The sequence below is a fragment of the Homo sapiens genome, chromosome 19, assembly GCF_000001405.40.
Source record: "Homo sapiens chromosome 19, GRCh38.p14 Primary Assembly".
Classification (NCBI taxonomy): domain Eukaryota; kingdom Metazoa; phylum Chordata; class Mammalia; order Primates; family Hominidae; genus Homo; species Homo sapiens.
Genome location: NC_000019.10, coordinates 8,236,986 through 8,254,339, shown reverse-complemented (window position 1 = coordinate 8,254,339; position 17,354 = coordinate 8,236,986). Strand labels below are relative to the sequence as shown.

The 17,354-nt window shown below is 51.4% G+C and overlaps 1 protein-coding gene and 1 long non-coding RNA gene across 12 annotated transcripts in view, besides 1 other annotated feature; one reads left to right on the top strand and one right to left on the bottom strand.

The window, feature by feature from the left end:
• CERS4 (ceramide synthase 4) overlaps positions 1-17,354 on the bottom strand; it is a 53,052-nt gene that overhangs the window by 8,082 nt on the left and 27,616 nt on the right. For 4 of the 11 annotated variants that reach the window (NM_024552.3, XM_047439437.1, XM_011528291.3 and 1 more), the window contains one exon: positions 3,091-3,264. In NM_024552.3, coding sequence (NP_078828.2) covers positions 3,091-3,263 — 173 coding nt within the window. In that variant the 5' untranslated portion in view covers position 3,264. Of the gene's footprint in view, positions 1-3,090; positions 3,568-12,882; positions 13,000-13,776; positions 13,855-17,354 lie in introns of those variants that run through there. The other 7 variants (XM_017027304.2, XM_047439434.1, XM_011528290.3 and 4 more) reach the window with 5 other exon arrangements.
• Positions 13,775-13,824: a silencer, noted in NCBI's record as "silent region_10014". NCBI's record gives its function as "represses an Ori minimal core promoter by ATAC-STARR-seq in GM12878 lymphoblastoid cells {active_cell/tissue: GM12878}" and the evidence as "EXISTENCE:reporter gene assay evidence [ECO:0000049][PMID:35858748]".
• Positions 13,846-14,437, top strand: LOC107985282 (uncharacterized). The gene is made up of 2 exons (XR_001753859.2): positions 13,846-14,006; positions 14,255-14,437. It is a non-coding gene; the product is annotated as an uncharacterized LOC107985282 (long non-coding RNA).

Below are 17,354 nucleotides of genomic sequence, written 5' to 3'. Positions count from 1 at the left end.
TTTTTTTTTTTTTTTTTGAGACAGAGTATTGCACTGTCACCCAGGCTGGAGTGCAGTGGCGCGATCTTGGCTCACTGCAAGCTCCGCCTCCCGGGTTCACGCCATTCTCCTGCCTCAGCCTCCCGAGTAGCTGGGACTGCAGGCGCCCGCCACTACGCCCGGCTAATTTTTTGTATTTTTTAGTAGAGACGGGGTTTCACTGTGTTAGCCAGGATGGTCTCGATCTCCTGACCTCGTGATCTGCCCACCTCGGCCTCCCAGAGGGCTGGGATTACCAGCGGTGAGCCACCGCGCCCGGCCTAAGACTTGGTCTTTCTTTTCCATCTGATCAGAGGGTTTGGAGGCCCAGAGTCAGAAAGGCTCGTGGGGCAGGACTCGATTTTCCACTTATTCCTGGCCTCATCCCCTGGGGCCCTGGAGGGGTGGCCTGGCTGCTGCGTTAGACCAAACATAAGAAAGGCAGCTGACTCATGCCTGTTATCCCAGAACTTTGGGGCTGAGGTGGGCGGATCACGTGAGGTCAGAAGTTCGAGACCAGCCTGACCAATATGGTGAAACACTGTCTCTACTGAAAATACAAAATCATCTGGGTGTGGTGGCGTGCACCTGTAATCCCAGCTACTCGGGAGGTTGAGGCAGGTGAATTGCTTGAACCTGGAGGTGGAGGTTGCAGTGAGCCAGGATTGCATCTACTGAAAATACAAAAAATTAGCCGGGCGAGGTGGCGGGCCCCTGTAGCCCCAGCTATTTGGGAGGCTGAGCTGAGGCAGGAGAATGGTGTGAACCCAGGAGGCGGAGCTGGCAGTGAGTCGAGATCGCACCACTGCACTCAAGCCTGGGTGACAGAGCAACAAGACTCTGTCTCCCCAAAAAAAAAAAAAAAAAAAAAAGGCAGCTGGACCTTTGTCTGTAGGGTGAGGGTGTGCAGACCAACTCTTGGGGTACCCAGGTACCTTTGCCCAATCCCAAACCAGGGACAAGAGTCTCTTCACTGCCTGTCTCACTGTGGCCTGGGTCCTGGTCTGACCCCCCGCCAGTCTAGGGGCTCCCCATGGGCAGGGGCTGGGGCTGTTCCCGCTCCAAGCCCCTCCTCCCAGCATCCCCCATTCCGGGGTAGAGGCTTGGAGATCAGGGACCCTGGTCAATGGCCACGTTGCCCACAAGAGGGCGCGCCAACACCACAGGTGGGGACCGAATTTTATATCCACCATCCCTCCTAACATCCTGCCTCATTTGGTGAAAGGCTCAGAGCAGCCTAGCAAGGAACTCATTGCAGAATAAATCATGATGCGGAGAGAATGAGCGCTTATTATCTGCTAAGCATGGGGCCAAGTCCATGTGATACATTGGCTCGTCTAACCCTAACTCAGTTCCTATTGTCCTAATGGGTAAACTGAGGCTCAGAGACATGCCCAAGGTGACACTGTGAGCAGGTGAAAGACCTGAAATTTGAACTCAGGATTCTGGTTTTTGTTCCTGCCTCCTGCCTCTTAAAGTCTCATTTTGGAGGTGGAGGGCGGGAGGATTGCTTGAACTCAGGAGTTCAAGACCAACCTGGGCAACATGGTGAGACCTTGTCTCTACTAAAAATACAAAATTTAGCTGGGTTGTGGTGTCACTTGCCTGTAATCCCAGCACTTTGGGAGGCCAAGGTGGGTGGATCACCTGACGTCAGGAGTTTGAGACTAGTCTGGCCAACATGGCAAAACCCCGTTTCTATTAAAAATACAAAAATTAGTCAGGTGTGGTGGCACATGCCTGTAATCCCAGTTACTTGTGAGGCTGAGATAGGAGAGTCGCTTGAACCTGGGAGGCAGAGGTTGTAGTGAACTGAGATTGTGCCACTGTACTCCAGCCAAGGTGAAAGAGCAAGACTCTGTCTCAAAAAAAAAAAAAAGTTAGCCAGCCATGGTGGCATGCCTACAGTCCCAGCTACTGGTGGGGATGAGGCTTTTGTTCTTTTTTTTTTTAGATGGAGTTTTGCTCTTGTTGCCCAGGCTGGAGTGCACTGGCATGATCTCAGCTCACTGCAACCTCTGTCTCCTGGGTTCAAGCAATTCTCCTGCCTCAACCTCCTGAGTAGCTGGGACTACAGGCATGTGCCACCACACCCAACTAATTTTTTGTACTTTTAGTAGAGACAGGGTTTCACCACGTTTGTCGGGCTGGTCTTGAACTCCTGACATCATGATCCGCCCACCTTGGCCTCCCAAAGTGCTGGGATTACAGGCATGAGCCACTGCACCCAGCCTAATTTTTGTATTTTTTTTTTTTTAATAGAGATGAGGTTTCACCATGTTGCGCAGTCTGGTCTCGAACTCCTGGACTCAAGTGATCCACCCACCTCAGCCTCCCAAATTGCTGACATTACAGGAATCAGCTACCACGTCTGGCCTAGATTCAAAAAAAAATTTTTTTTAAGGGCTAAAACCCCTGCGTTTGAAACTGGAAAACCCTCCGCCCACCCCACTGTCCTTCACAGAGGCCCTGGGATGCCTTTGGGATGGGATAACACCCCAGCTCACATTTTTTTTTTTTTATGGAGTCTTGCTCTGTTGCCGAGGCTGGAGTGCAGCGGCACAATCTTGGCTCACTGCAACCTCCACCTCCCAGGTTCAGGCGATTCTCCTGCCTCAGCCTCCTGAGTAGTTGGGATTACAGGTTTGCGCCCAGCTAATTTTTGTATTTTTAGCAGAGACAGGGTTTCACCATGTTGGCCAGGCTGGTCTCGAACTCTTGACCTCAAGTGATCCACCCGCCTCAGCCTCTCAAAGTGCTGGGATTACAGGCGTGAGCCACCGTGCCCGGCCTCCCATCCCTGTTTTATGAAGATGCTGGCATACCCAGCTGCAGGCTGCAGGCAGTGCAGTGTTCCTATAAACCAGCTGCAGTCAGTGTTCCTATAAACCAGCCATCAGAGGCCAGAAGTGTGGGTGGTGGCGGCTGGGGGCAGGCTGGAGCCAGGGAACGCGCTTTGGTGCAAAGCCAGCTTCTACTCGGGACATGCTGCAATGGCAAATTGCACACAGGGCACGAGCACATACTGGAGCGACTGCGGGGGCAATGGATTGCGGCAGGGCAGACACTCACCTCTCAAAGGCAAGGCGCATGGCCAGGAGGACCAGCGCCAGGGGCAGGGCTGCCAACAAGTCCTGGGGGTGGGGGTAGACACGGCCATCCCGGTCTTCTAGCTCTGTCCACGTGACATTGGGTGGTAACCAGAACCTGTCCTGCCAAAACCACTCGTTGAAACTGGACAGCATTCTGTGGACACAGGTTCCAGTTAGCTGGGAGGTCTGCAAGCAGAATGGGTGGGGCAAGTGGGGCCTGAGAGGCTGGAGCCTCAGAACTCCTACTCGGGCCCCTATCAGCGCAGTTGACAACCAGGAGGCAGGACTGGAAGATGGAACTCCCCTTGCCTGGGACTTTGGAACTGTCCTCTGGTCCCAGAAGAGCCACCACTTCATTCTCATCACTCCCACTCCATTGCCTGGTCAGTGTTAAAAGGCAGAGTTGGGCTGTGTGTCCTCAGGCAAATGACTTGACCTCTCTGAACCTCAAGTTCATCTGTAAAACAGAGTAGTAGGCCGGGCGCAGTTGCTCACGCCTGTAATCCCAGCACTTTAGAAGGCCAAGGTGGGTGGATCACGAGGCCAGGAGTTCAAGAGCAGCCTGACCAACATGGTGAAACCCTGTCTCTACTAAAAATACAAAAATGAGCTGGGCGTGGTGGCACATGCCTGTAATCCCAGCTACTCAGGAGTCTGAGGCAGGAGAATCACTTGAACCTGGGAGGCGGAGGTTGCAGTGAGCCGAGATCGTGCCACTGCACTGCAGCCTGGGTGACAGAACAAGACTCCATCTCAAAAACAAAACAAAACAAAACAAAAAAACAGAGACAGTAATACCCAGGCTTCTCAACCTAAAGTGCTTGGCCGATTGATCTTTAACAAGAGTAATAATAACACAGCCCAAAATAGTAGTTATTACTCTGCACTTAACTGATGCCAAGATGGTAGCCAGAAGTCAAGGGAGTGGCTGCTTGGGGTCAGAAACTTGAGTCGTGGCCGGGCACCATGGCTCATGCCTGTAATCCCAACACTGTGGGAGGCTGAGGTGGGCAGATCACTTCAGGTCAGGAGTTTGAGACCAGCCTGGCCAACATGGCAAAACTCCATCTTTACTAAAAATACAAAAATTAGCCGGGCGTGGTGGCAGGCGCCTATAATCCCACCTGCTCAGGAGGCTGAGGCAGGAGAATCGCTTGAACCCGGGAGGAGGAGGTTGCAGTGAGCCGAGATCATGCCACTGCACTCCAGCCTGGGCAACAGAGAAAAACTGTCTCAAAAAAAAGAACTTGAGTCCTCAAACGTCCAGGAAGGTTTCTTTCCACTGCAGGAAGCTGCCTCTGAAGCAGCCCCCAAAGATGAAGGATTTAAAGAAATCCAGAGGCCGGGCTCAGTGGCTCACTGCCTGTAATCCCAGCACTTTGGGAGGCCGAGGCAGGTGGATCACGAGGTCAGGAATTCAAGACCAGCCTGGCCAACATGGTGAAACCCTGTCTCTACTAAAAATACAAAAATTAGCCAGGCATGGTGGTGTGCGCCTGTAATCCCAGCTACTCGGGAGGCTGAGGCAGAGAATTGCTTGAACCCGGGAGGCGGAGGTTGCAGTGAGCAGAGATCAGGCCACTGCACTGCAGCCTGGGTGACAGAGCAAGACTCTGTCTCAAAAAAAAAAAAAAAAAAAAAATCCAGAGTTCCTTTCCTGGCCATCTATGGAAGGTAGGCTCCTCTCTAGGTGGGAATTTCAGGGGGGTCTCTTGCTATCCCAGAGCCCACAAAGCAAGAGGGTAAGAGAGCCTACTGCATAACTGAGCTTGCCTGATAATGGAGTGGCGGTCGAGGTGGGGCAGCTCCGGCCAGCGTGTCCCAGCCTGCTTGAGGAGCCCAAAGAGCTGCTCCCTTCCCTGAGATCTTGAGCCAAGGGTCCAGCCTACCACAGTGGTTCCCACTCAGAAAGTTTGTTCGTTCATTCGTCTGTCCACGCATCCCCCTGTCCATCTATCTACCGATCCATCCCTCTATCCACCCATCCAAACATCTGTCCACCCACCCATCATCCATCCACCCATCGTCCATCCACCCATCCAAACATCTGTCCACCCACCCATCATCCATCCACCCATCCAAACATCTGTCCACCCACTCATCATCCATCTACCCATCATCCATCTGTTCGCCCATCAAAACATCTGTCTATCCACCCATTATTCATCATCCACCTATCCACTCATCTACCCATCATCCATCCATCCACCCATCCAAACATCTGTCCATCCACCCATCATTCATCTGTTAATTCATCAAAACATCTGTCCATCCACCCATTATCCATCATCCACCTATCCACTCATCCATCTACCCATCATCCATATGTCCACCCATCCAAACATCTGCCCACCCACCATCCATCCACCCACCCATCCAAAGATCTGTCCACCCACCCATCATCCATCAACCCATACAAACATCATCTATCCACCTACCCATTCATCCATCCACCCATCATCCATCCATCCATCCAAACACCTGTCCATCCACCTATCGTCCATCTGTCATCCATCTACCCACCCATTCATCCATCTCCCCATCCATTCATCCATCCATCTGTCCACCCACCCATCATCCATCCACTCATCCAAACATCTGTCCACCTGCCCATCATCCATCCACCTACCCATTCACCCATCCATCCATCATCCATCTGTCCACCCATCTAAACATCTGTCCACCCAGCCATCATCCATCCACTGATCCAAAAATCTGTCCATCTACCCATCATCCATCCATTCATCATCCATCTGTCCACCCATCTAAACATCTATCCGCTCATCATCCATCACTCACTTGTGTGTCCTTCCACCCACCCATCCTTCTGTCCATCTTTTCTTCCATCTATCCATTTCCCCTTCCATCCATCCATTTATCCATCTGTCGTTGCATCTATCCGTCTGTCTGTCCATCCATCCATCCAGGCAAGAGATATTCTCCAATTGACTTGTACATGTCAGGTCAGGGCTGGGCCTTGGCGACACAGCAGGGGAATAAAGCCAACACATTCCTGCCCAGCTCACAGACCAACAGAGAAGGCAGCCAATAAACAAGTAAACAGATTCATAAATGAATGAGATGCCAAAGTATAACGGGCCGGGTAGATAACAGAGTGGCGTGATTTTAAATGTGATCAAGGAGAGGCTCTCTAAGGAGGCGCCACCTGAGCTGGGACTTAAAGATGAGGTCGTCAGGCCAGGTGCGGTGGCTCACACCTGTAATCCCAGCACTTTGGGAGGCTGAAGCGGGTGGATCATCTGAGGTCAGGAGTTCAAGACCAGCCTGGCCCACATGGTGAAACCTCATCTCTACTAAAAATACAAAAATCAGCCAGGTGTGGTGGCATGTGCCTGTAACCCCAGCTACTTGAGAGGCTGAGGCAGGAGAATCACTTGAACCTGGGAGGCAGAGGTTGCAGTGAGTTGAAATCATGCCACTGCACTCAAGACTGGGCAACAGAGCAAGACTCCATCTTAAAAAAAAAAAAAAAAAAAGATGCGGAGGTCAGGCCAGGCAAAGTGGTTCATGCCTGTAATCCCAACACTTTGGGAGGCCGAGGCAGGTGGATCACTTGAGCTCAGGAGTTCAAGACCAGCCTGGGCAACATAGCAAGACCCTGTCTCTACAAAAAATTTAAAAAGTAGTCAGGTGTGCTGGCACGTATCTGTAGTTCTAGCTATTCAGGAAGCTGATGTGGGAGTACGACTTGAGCCCAGGAGTTTGAGGCTGCAGGGAGCTACGATCACACCACTATACTCCAGCCTGAGGGACAGAGCAAGACCCTATGAGAAAAAAAAAGATGAGAAGGTTGTGGGTTTTTCACACAAGAAGGTGGGGCTGGGGGAGGGGCTTTCTAGATAAATACGCAGCAGGTGCAAAGGCCCTGAGGCAGGACCATGCCTGGGATGTTGGAGCAACAGTGAGGAGGTCCGTGTGGCTGGTGCAGTGAGCAAGGGGGAGAGAGGGAGGAGGGGAGGGCAGGGAGGTGATGAGGGGCAGCACAGAGCCTGCAAGGCATGGGGGCCGCAGGGAAGAATCTGGATTATTTCCCCCAACATTTTGAGATGGAGTCTCACTCTGCCGCCCAGCCTGGAGTACCGTGGCACGATCTCAGCTCACTGCAACCTCCACCTTGAGGGTTCAAGCAATTCTCGTGCCTCAGTCTCCCGAGTAGCTGGGATTACAGGCATGCGCCACCATGCCTGGCTAATTTTTATATTTTTAGTAGAGATGGGGTTTTGTTATGTTGGCCAGGCTGGTCTCAAACTCCTGACCTCAAGTGATCTGCCCGCCTCAGCCTCCCAAAGTGCTGGGATTATAGGCATGAGCCACCGCGCCCGGCCTTCCCCCAATGTTTTATAATAAACATTTCAAACCTACACAAAAGTTGAAAGAATTTTACAGTGAATACCTGTATTCCCACCACTAGATTCTCCCCTTTGCATTCCATTCTGTTTATTCCATCACCCATCTGCCTCTGCCCATCCATCCCTCTATCCACCATCAGTCTATCTGCTTGTTCCCGATGCATTTCAAAGTAGGCAGCTGACCTCAGGCCACATCGCCCCTACACATGTCAGCACACAGATCATTAACTAGGGTTCAATATTTGCTTATGGGTTTTTCCTTTCAAGGTAAAATTTACCCAAGTGAAATGCAGACTTTTTGTTTTTTTAGACAGGGTCTCACTCTGTCACCCAGGCTGGAATGCAGCGATCATGGCTCCCTGCAGCCTTGACCTCCCGGGCTCGGGTGGTCTTTTCATGTCAGCCCCCGCAGAGCCAGGACCATAGGCACACACCACCATGACTGGCTAATGTTTTAAATTTTTGTGTAGAGAGAGGGTCTCCCTATGTTATCCAGGCTGGTCTCAAACCCCTGGCTCAAGCGATCCTCCCGCCTTGGCCTCCCGAAGTGTTGGGATTACAGGCATGAGCCACTGCGCCTGGCCCGCACACATCTTTAAGGGTACAGTCACTGAGTTTGGACAAAACTATGTACCTGACTAATCCAGTCTCCTATCACAAATATTTCCTCTAGAAACTTCCCTCATACCTCTTCCCAGTCAACCTCCACCCCTGTCCTGTCATCCAAAAGTAACAACCATTCCAGTTTTTTTGTTTTTTTGTTGTTGTTGTTGTTTAGACAGGGTCTCACTCTGTGGCCCAGGCTGGAGTGCAGTGGTGCCATCATACCTCACTGCACACTTGACCTCCTGGGCTCAAGCAATCCTCCCCACTCAGCCTCCCAAATTGCTGGGATTATAGGCATGAGCCACCTTGCCCTGCCCCCCACCAGCTTTTTTTTTTTTTTTTTTTTTTTTTGTCATCAAAGCTTAGTTTTGTCAGTTCTTCATGATAACCTTGCCATGTTACAAAATAAAAATAGGCCGGGCATGGTGGCTCAAGCCTGTAATCCCAGCACTTTGGGAGGCCAAGGTGAGTGGATCACTTGCGATCAGGAGTTTGAGACCAGCCTGGCCAACACGGTGAAACCCCGTCTCTACTAAAAATACAAAAATTAGCCAGGGGTGGTGGTGGGCACCTGTAATCCCAGCTACTCAGGAGGCTGAGGCAGGAGAATTGCTTGAACCCGGGAGGCGGAGGCTGCAGTGAGCCAAGATTGTGCCACTGCACTCCAGCCTGGGTGAGAGAGCGAGACTTCATCTCAAAAATAAATAAAATAAATAAAAATAAAAATACCATAACCCCAGTGTTTAGGAGGCTGAGGCAGGAGGATTGCTTGAACCCAGGGGTTTGAGACCAGCCTGGACAACATAGCGAAACTGTCTCTACAAAAAATACAAAAATTAGCCGGGCAAGGTGGCATGTGGCCATAATCCTAGCTACTCGTGAGGCAGAGGCAGGAGGATTGCTTAAGCCCAAGAGTTTGGGGCTGCAATGAGCTGTGATCATGCCACCACACTTCAGCCTAAATGACAGAGTGATACCTGTCTCCAAAAACAGAGTAAATCAATAAAAAATAAAAATATATAAATAAAATAAAAAATAGACCCAGGTGCAGTGGCTCATGCCTGTAATTCCAGCACGTTGGGAGACTGAGGCAGGAGAATTGCTTGAAGCCAAGAGTGTTTTTTTTTTTTTTTTTTTTTTTTGAGATGGAGTCTCGCTCGGTCGCCCAGCCTGGAGTGCAGTGGCACGATCTCAGCTCACTGCAAGCTCAGCCTCCCGAGTAGCTGGGACTACAGGTGCCCGCCACTACGCCCGGCTAATTTTTTGTATTTTTAGTAGAGACAGGGTTTCACCATGTTAGCCAGGATGGTCTAGATCTCCTGACCTCGTGATCCACCTGTCTTGGCCTCCGAAAGTGCTGGGATTACAGGTGAGAGCCACCGCGCCTGGCCAAAGCCAAGAGTTCAAGACCAGCCTAGGGGGCAGCCGGGGGTGGTGGCTCACCCCTGTAATCCCAGCACTTTGGGAGGCCAAGGTGGGCAAACTGCTTTCCAAGGCAGGACTGCACCATCTTACACTCCCAGCAGGAGAATGTGAGGGTTCCGTTGCCCTTGGTTCTATTTTGAATAATGCAGGGATTCTCAGGTGTTGGTTGCCATGCAGGGCGTAGCATTTTGGAGGCCAGAAGAGGGTGCTCTGGCATGTCCAGTTGAGATAAGGTAGAGATAAGGGGATTCCAGAGACATTTTAGAGGTGGGGCCCCCCAAGAGCCAAATGCTTTCCAAAGTGGAGCCAGAAAAGAGAAGGGTTGGGAGAGGAAATTGGCAAGATATTGGTCAAAGGATATGACATTTCAGTTAGCAGCAGTAGTAAGTCCAAGAGATCTGTACATCATGATGATTTTAGTTAATAATATAGTATATACTGGAAAATTGCTAAGAGACTACATTTTCTGCAGGGAGGCAATCTCTCACTCTGTCTTCCAGGCTGGAATGCAGCGGTGCAATCATAGCTCACTGCAGCCTCGATCTCCTGGGCTCAAGCCATCTTCCTGCCTCAGCCTCCCGAGTAGCTGGGACTACAGGCTCCAGCCACCACACCCAGCCATTTCCTGCCTTTTCTGGCTTTAGAGGCTGCCTGCACCCTCCAGCTCCTGGTCCCTTCCTCCATCTTCAGAGCCAGCAGTGGCTAGTTGGGTCTTTCTCCCACCTTGTCATTCTGACAGTGTCTCTCCTGCCTCCGTCTTCTTCATTTTAAGACCCTTGTGATGACACTGGGTTCACCCAGATGATCTCCCATCTCAAGCTCAGCTGATTAACAACCTTAATTCCATCTTCAGCCTCACCCCACTTGGCCACTGAAGCTGTCAGCCTTCCAGTCTGAAGAACTGGATGAACCAGAATGGATGAGCTGATTTCAGGACAGGAGTCAGGCTAAGTGTCAGACAACACAAATTGTGGGTGTGGGGGAGGGCAGCTAAAATGTTCCCGTGGGCGTGTGGAGGAGGCAGGAGCTACTCAGGTTTGGGGCACAGGCTTGGGGTGGGTGGGGCCTGGGTAGGACTTGTCAGTGAGTGGCTGCTGTTGAAATCCATGAAGATGGATGGAATCCTCTATCTATCAGCAAGGGGTCAACAAGACCCTGTTTTGGGGGAAAAAAAAAAAAAAGGAAGAGACTGCACATGAAGGGGCAGGCTAAGTACCATGCTATGGGGCAACTGACATTTAGGCATCAGTGAAGTATTAGAAGCTGTTGCTAGCATTGGATACTCTGGTTGGGGAGGGGCACTAGAAGTCAGTGACCCAACAAGCAGTCAAGGGTGTGGGATAGCAGCTAGTCTAGACCTACAACGAGGCCCAGGCATCCCAGACAGAGTAGACACATGAACAGCTGGGTGGATGTGGGGACTTCAGCCCAGGTGGTTGATTTCTCAAGAAAAAGAAATCATCTTCACTAGCAGACAAGGTTGGCTTGATCCCGTGTGCCCGTGGGGGCTCAAGGACACATGGCCAGCTTGGCACTCTTGGTCCCAACTGTACTCAGCTCTCACAGCCAAAGCCATGACCACTGCAGGGTATCTGCAATCCCCTATTTTTTTTTTTTTTTTTTTTTTTTTTTTTAGAGACAGGGTCTCACTTTGTCACCCAGACTGGAGTGCACTGGCCTGATCATAGCTCACTGCAGCCTCAAACTCCTGGGTTCAAGCCATCCTCCCACCTCAGCCTTCTGAGTCACTGGTGCAGCTTTCTCAGAGACCCTGCTACCTTTCTGACAGACCCCAAGGTGCAGATGGAAGGGGACTAGGTGTCCTAGGAAGGCCCAGGCATCCAGACCCCCAGCTCCATGTTTTCCCCTCACCCAAGGGTCTTGGATGCATCCTTGCACACCTTGGTACATTCAAGTCATGATGAGTGTAGGGGATGAGGGAGAACCACAGGAGCAATGGCTTCTCACAATCTCAAGCCTTGCCTCTGCTGATGTGCCCAGCTTCAATGCCCACCAGTTTACTGACTGATACTCTGCTCCCACCAGACCATATCGTTTCACACATCCTAGCCTTTACAAATACTGGCCTCTGCCTAGAATGCTCATTTAGTATTTGGGTGCTGAAGACACAAAATGGTGGGGAAAACAAGCAACATCTCTGCCCTGAAGAGCTTAAACGCTTTCTTTCTCTGTTTGGCAAACTCCTATGCATCCTTCAAAACCCAGCTCAGTTGTCACCTCCTCCTGAAAGCAGCCCAATTGCCCTGCTTTGGATCCTGTTAAAGCACCCTCCCGCAACCCTGTCTTACTGTGATGTCAGGAGCTGGCCAGTGTTTTTGCAGGGAGGGTTGGAGAAGGAAGCATAACCAGTTCTAAACTCTCCTCTCCTCTGCTGAATCATGCCCATTGCTTCCTGAGTGGCACAGAAAGGGGAACAGATGCACTTTCTAAACCAGGGAGCTCTCCAAGGAGGCTTCAGACTGATATGCCCTGATTGCAGAGGTCTGGCCCCAGAGGTCCTACTCTCTCACTAACCTCACCAACCTGTCTCTGTCTCGTCCCTTCCCTCTTCTCCCTCTTAAAGCATAAATAAAAGATGCTGTGGTTTGAGAAAAGAACAGGGTCTGGAGCCCAGCAGACTGGCTGGAGTCCTAGCTGCAATGCTTCAAAGCCCTGGGAGCCTCAATTTCGTCACCTGTTGGTGGGACAGGTGCCCTCCCTGAAGGGTGGTTAAGCAGCTCAGAGACCTTGCACCTGGGGCATTGAGGCAGAGTCTGGCATATGGGAGGGGCTCAGGCATGGCTATAACCAGGCACCTCAGGCCAGCAAGGCTCAACTTCTCCTGAGGGAAGGGAGGAAATGAGGCTGAGGGATGTGTTCCTCAATTTCTAGCTTTTCTCTTTTGGATCCAGTTCTTCTGTTTGTTCCCTGTCATCCTCTGTCTTCCTGGGCCTCAGTTGTCCCATCTGAAAAATGGGTACAGCTAGATTCCCTCCTTGTTCTACCAGGCTATTGTGAGGCTCAGGGCAGGCGGGCAGTTTATAAACACTCCATGCTGATATCACAACGGATCTGATTCCTGATTCCTGCCTCACCCGTTTACCAGGCATGGAACGTGGCCTATCTGTGCCTCAGTTTTATCTGTAAAATGGAACAAACAATAGCCCCTCTTCCACATGGAGTGGTTCGGAATGGCACCTGAGGTGGAGTGAGCACCTAGTAAAATTTAGAGGACCGAGTGCAGTGGCTCACACCCAGCACTTTGAGAGGCCGAAGTGGGAGGATTGCTTAAGGTCAGGAGTTCGAGACCAGCCAGGGCAACATAGCAAGACAAAAAAATTTAAAAATTAGGTGGGCATAGTGACACACACCTGTAATCCCGGCTACTCAGGAGGCTGAGGTGAGAGGACTGGTTGAGCCCAGGAGTTTGAGGCTGCAGTGAGCTGTGATCACACCACTGCACTCCAGCCTGGGTGACGGAGCAGATCCTGTTTCGGAAAAAAACCCCCCAAAAAACAGCTTAGACTGTGATAGTTACTGCTAGACAGGAGGTGGGGGCAGGATGGGGAGTGGTCTGGAAAGAAGGGGTGCTGGCCTATGGAGGCTTCTAGATGGTTCTTCCAAGCCCTTAGGACGGTTTCCAGCATCTGAGGTGCCTAAGGCTGCTGGAAGCTTTCCTTGCCCCTGCCACCTTCCCTTAAAGCTGCAGCTGAAGTGTTTGGGCTGGGCTGGACGACAGCAGCTTCAGGGTCATCTGCAGAGCCACCGCGTGGGTGGCAGGGCCAGTGTGACCAGCCTCTTCTCCCCTCACCCCACCCGCCCCCAAGCCTGGCTGCTGTTTGAAGCCTCCCTGGCCCCACTCCCAGCTTGGCCCCTGCCACCTGGGAACCAAACTGATAATCCTTCTTAGTGGCTAAAAATAGCCCCAGATTGGGGGAAAGAGAGAGAATGGGGCTTTGTACTGACACGGGAGGTGGGTTAGGGGGCATGAGTAGAGGATCCCTGCCCCTCTTCAGGGGTCTGAGTGAGAAGGACTGGTTCCCACGGCTTCCCCGAACCCCCAAGGACCCTGGCACTGCTCAGCAGATCAGAGCTATGCACATAGGTTTGTTTTGTTTTGCTTTCAATCTAGCTGGAAATACAGGACTTGTCCATGGTTGTGAAAAAGGCAATTAATTCAGACCCCAGATGTCTGGGCCTCCCAGAGATGAAAACACACACACACACACACACACACACACACTTGCATACATTGACTCACTCACCCGCCCCTGCAGCCTGGCCCGCTGCCTGGGGTCACCTGATTCCTGCGGCCAGAGGCTCAGGCGGGAGCACGTGACATGCTGGAAGGAAGGGGGCTGTTTGCAGATAACCACAGCCTGCCTCTGCACCGGGTCCTGGCTGTCCCTTCCAGACGGACCTGTCTCTTCCACTCTGAGCCTCTCTGAGCAGAGGTCCCACAGGGTGTTAGTGACCAGAGATGCTGCCGGTTGAGGTACCACTCCCCCCAAAGACCCCAAGGTGGACCCCAAGTTCAAGGTTCCGCCTTACCTGAGCCCCTTATTTCTGCACACATTCCTGCCCTCTACATTCTGGCCCTGCTGCCTCCCCACCTCTGCCTCCCCAGCTTAATCCATAGCAACTGCTGCTTGCTGGGCTTCCAACTCACCAAGCTCACTTGTACCATGTTTGCACCCCAGACAGTCACATACATGTCTGACTGTGTTATCATTCTTATTTCAGCTCAAATGTCACCTCCTCCAAGAAGACTTCTCAGACTACCACCAAAGAGGCCACCATATTATTCTGTCTCCTGATCCTGTGTAGTTCCTTCAACCCTCTTGTCCCAGTTGATCTGTTTCATTGGGGTGTCTTCTTCACCCCAAGGCATAAGTTTCATGAAAGAAAAGAATGTTGTTTGAGTCACTGCTGTATCCTCAGAGCCTCAGACAGGGCTGGACACATTAGATGCCACATAAATGTTTGCTACATGGATGAATGAGTAGAATAGACAGATGGACAGGTGGGAGGGTGCAAGGATGTTAGCTCAGGTGGTCAAACTCTCTAGAAAAATAACCCACCCTTAACAGGCATGGTTGGCTTGATCTCCATAAACATTCCCATAAAGGAAACGTGGGAACTGGGAAGCCCAAGGCTCAAAGCAAGAAATGACTAGAGACAGATCACAGGTCACTCAGTCAGCAAGGGGGACAGTCAAGGATAGAAGCTTCCTTGGGTGAGGAGGGGGCTGCTCTGCTCCCACAGTGGGCTCAGGGTTCATACGGTCCTGCGGAGGCCTCCCCAGGCCTACCTCTGCTGATTAAAGTTTCCCCAAAAAGCAAGCTCCTCCTTCTACTTGCCCTCTAAGCTTTCGGGGTACTAGAAGCTAATCATGCAATTTTTCTTTTTTCTTTTTCTTTTTTTTTTTTGAGACGGAGTTTTGCTCTTGTTGCCCAGGCTGGAGTACAGTGGCGCGATCTCGGCTCACTGCAACCTCTGCCTCCCGGGTTCAAGCAATTCTTTTGCCTCACCCACCTGAATAACTAGGATGACAGGTGTTTGCCATCATGCCCGGGTAATTTTTATTTTAGTAGAGACGGAGTTTCACCATGCTGGCCAGGCTGGTTTCGAACTCTTGACCTCAGGTGATCCACCTGCCTCAGCCTCCCAAAGTGCTGGGATTACAGGTGTGAGCCACCACACCTGGCCACAATTTTTCTTTCTTAAAGAGATGGGGTCTCATTCTGTTGCCCAGACTGGAGTGCAGTGGCACCATTGCAGCTCACTACAGCCTTGAACTCTTGGACTTAAGTGATCCTCCCGCCTCAGCCTTCCAAGCAGCTGGGACTACAGGAGCATGCCACCACACCCAGCTAATTTTTGTTATTTTTTTGTAGAGATAGGGTCTTGGTATGTTGCCCAGGCTGGTCTTGCACTCCTGGTCTTGAGCCATTCTCCCACTATGGCTTCCCAAAGTGCTAGGATTACCGACACAAGCCACCACACTCGGGCTCAGCGTGCAATTTCTTAATGTCTATGCCCCTGGAAGCTCAGGAGCCTCCGTAAGCTGGGCCATGTCCCCTGGGTATCCCCAGCCTCCTCCCCTATTGCATCTTCTTGGAACCATTCCCTGGCAACCACCTCTCCTGTCAGCCCCCTCAAAACCTACAACCAATACTGGACCATGAGGATCCCCCAGCAGGTGCCCACCCAACTCTGGCCTGGTGCCTGCTGTGGGAAGGAAGTAAAGAGGGGCCTCCACCTCCTTACCCTTCTGGAATCATCTGTCTCTTCTGCAGTTCTATTCAAGCTCTGGTTACCTCAGCCCCATGCCATCCAGATGGTATGATTCCCAAGACCAGCCCCAAGCCTCCAGGCCTCTGCATCAGTGCCCTTTTTCCAACATGCCTCCGCCCTCTTCCCTGGGCCAGTTCCCACTTGCCTTTCAAGTCCTGGATCAGATTAAAATCCCTATTTAAGAGGCCTCCCCTGCTCTTCCTATGCTAGGCAGAGTCCCCTCCCCAGCCAATACCCCTCCCTGCCCCTAGACCTTTCTTCTGAGCCAGCCCTGGCTCCCTGGAGGTTGGAGTATTCAAGTCTGCCTCTAAGTCTCTCCCCAGTTAGTGATGGTCAGGCCAGGGTGAGATCTCCAGGGGCCCCCAGCATCCCAGAGTAAAGTGGGGAGGTCCGTGAGGGAGGAGAGAGGATCTGGTCTCTGGGGGGTTGGAGGGAAAAAATGAGCAGTCCCCAGCCCCAGAGGTGGAGTAGTGGAGCAGGGATTGTGGGGGGGGATTACCATCTGATTGTTACTCGCACAGAGACAGGATTAAGTATACACGTGGGAGTGTGAGGGGGCCCACTTGGGCTATTAATGGTAAAAAAATAAAAATAAAAACAGCATTACGGAGGTATAATCAACAGGCAAGAAGCTGTACGTGTTTAAAGTGTGAGATCCAACACTTTTTTTTGTTTTGTTTTGACACGGAGTCTCGCTCTGTCGCCCAGGCTGGTGTGCAGTGGCGCAATCTCGGCTCACTGCAAGCTCCACCTCCCGGGTTCACGCCATTCTCCTGCCTCAGCCTCCTGAGTAGCTGGGACTACAGGCGCCCACCACCACGCCCGGCTAATTTTTTTGTATTTTTAGTAGAGTTGGGGTTTCACCATGTTAGCCAGGATGGTCTCAATCTCCTGACCTTGTGATCCACCCACCTCAGCCTCCCAAAGTGCTGGGATTACAGGCATAAGCCACCATGCCTGGCCTACTTTTTTCTGTTTTTTTGAGATGCAGTCTCTATGCCCAGGCTGGAGTGCAGTGGAATGATCTTGGCTCACTGCAACCTCTACTTCCTGGGTTCAAGTGATCCTCTTGCCGCAGCCTCCCAAGTAGCTGGGATCACAGGCATCCACCACCATGCGTGGCTAACTTTTTTTGTGTTTTTAGTGGAAATGGGGTTTCACAATGTTGGCCAGGCTGGTCTTGAAATCCTGACCTCAGGTGGTCTGCCCGCCTCCGCCTCCCAAAGTGCTGAGAGTACAGGCATGAGCCACGGCACCCAGCAGTTCCAACACATTTTGACATATGTACACACCCATGAAATCACCCCCTCAATCAAGATAATGAACAGAAAGCTGGAGGCTGAGTGAGCTACACCTAGTCCAGCAGCCTTTACCAGGTCCAAGGTAACAGGATCTTTATCTATAATCGTCTCTGTGTTCCTGGGGCAGATAACTGTGAGAGAACTAACAGCAAGGTGACTTGCAAGCTAAGAAATAAACAGATTTCTTTCTTTTCTCCTTTTCGTTTTTTTTTTTTTTTTTTTTTTTTTGAGACAGAGTCTCGCTC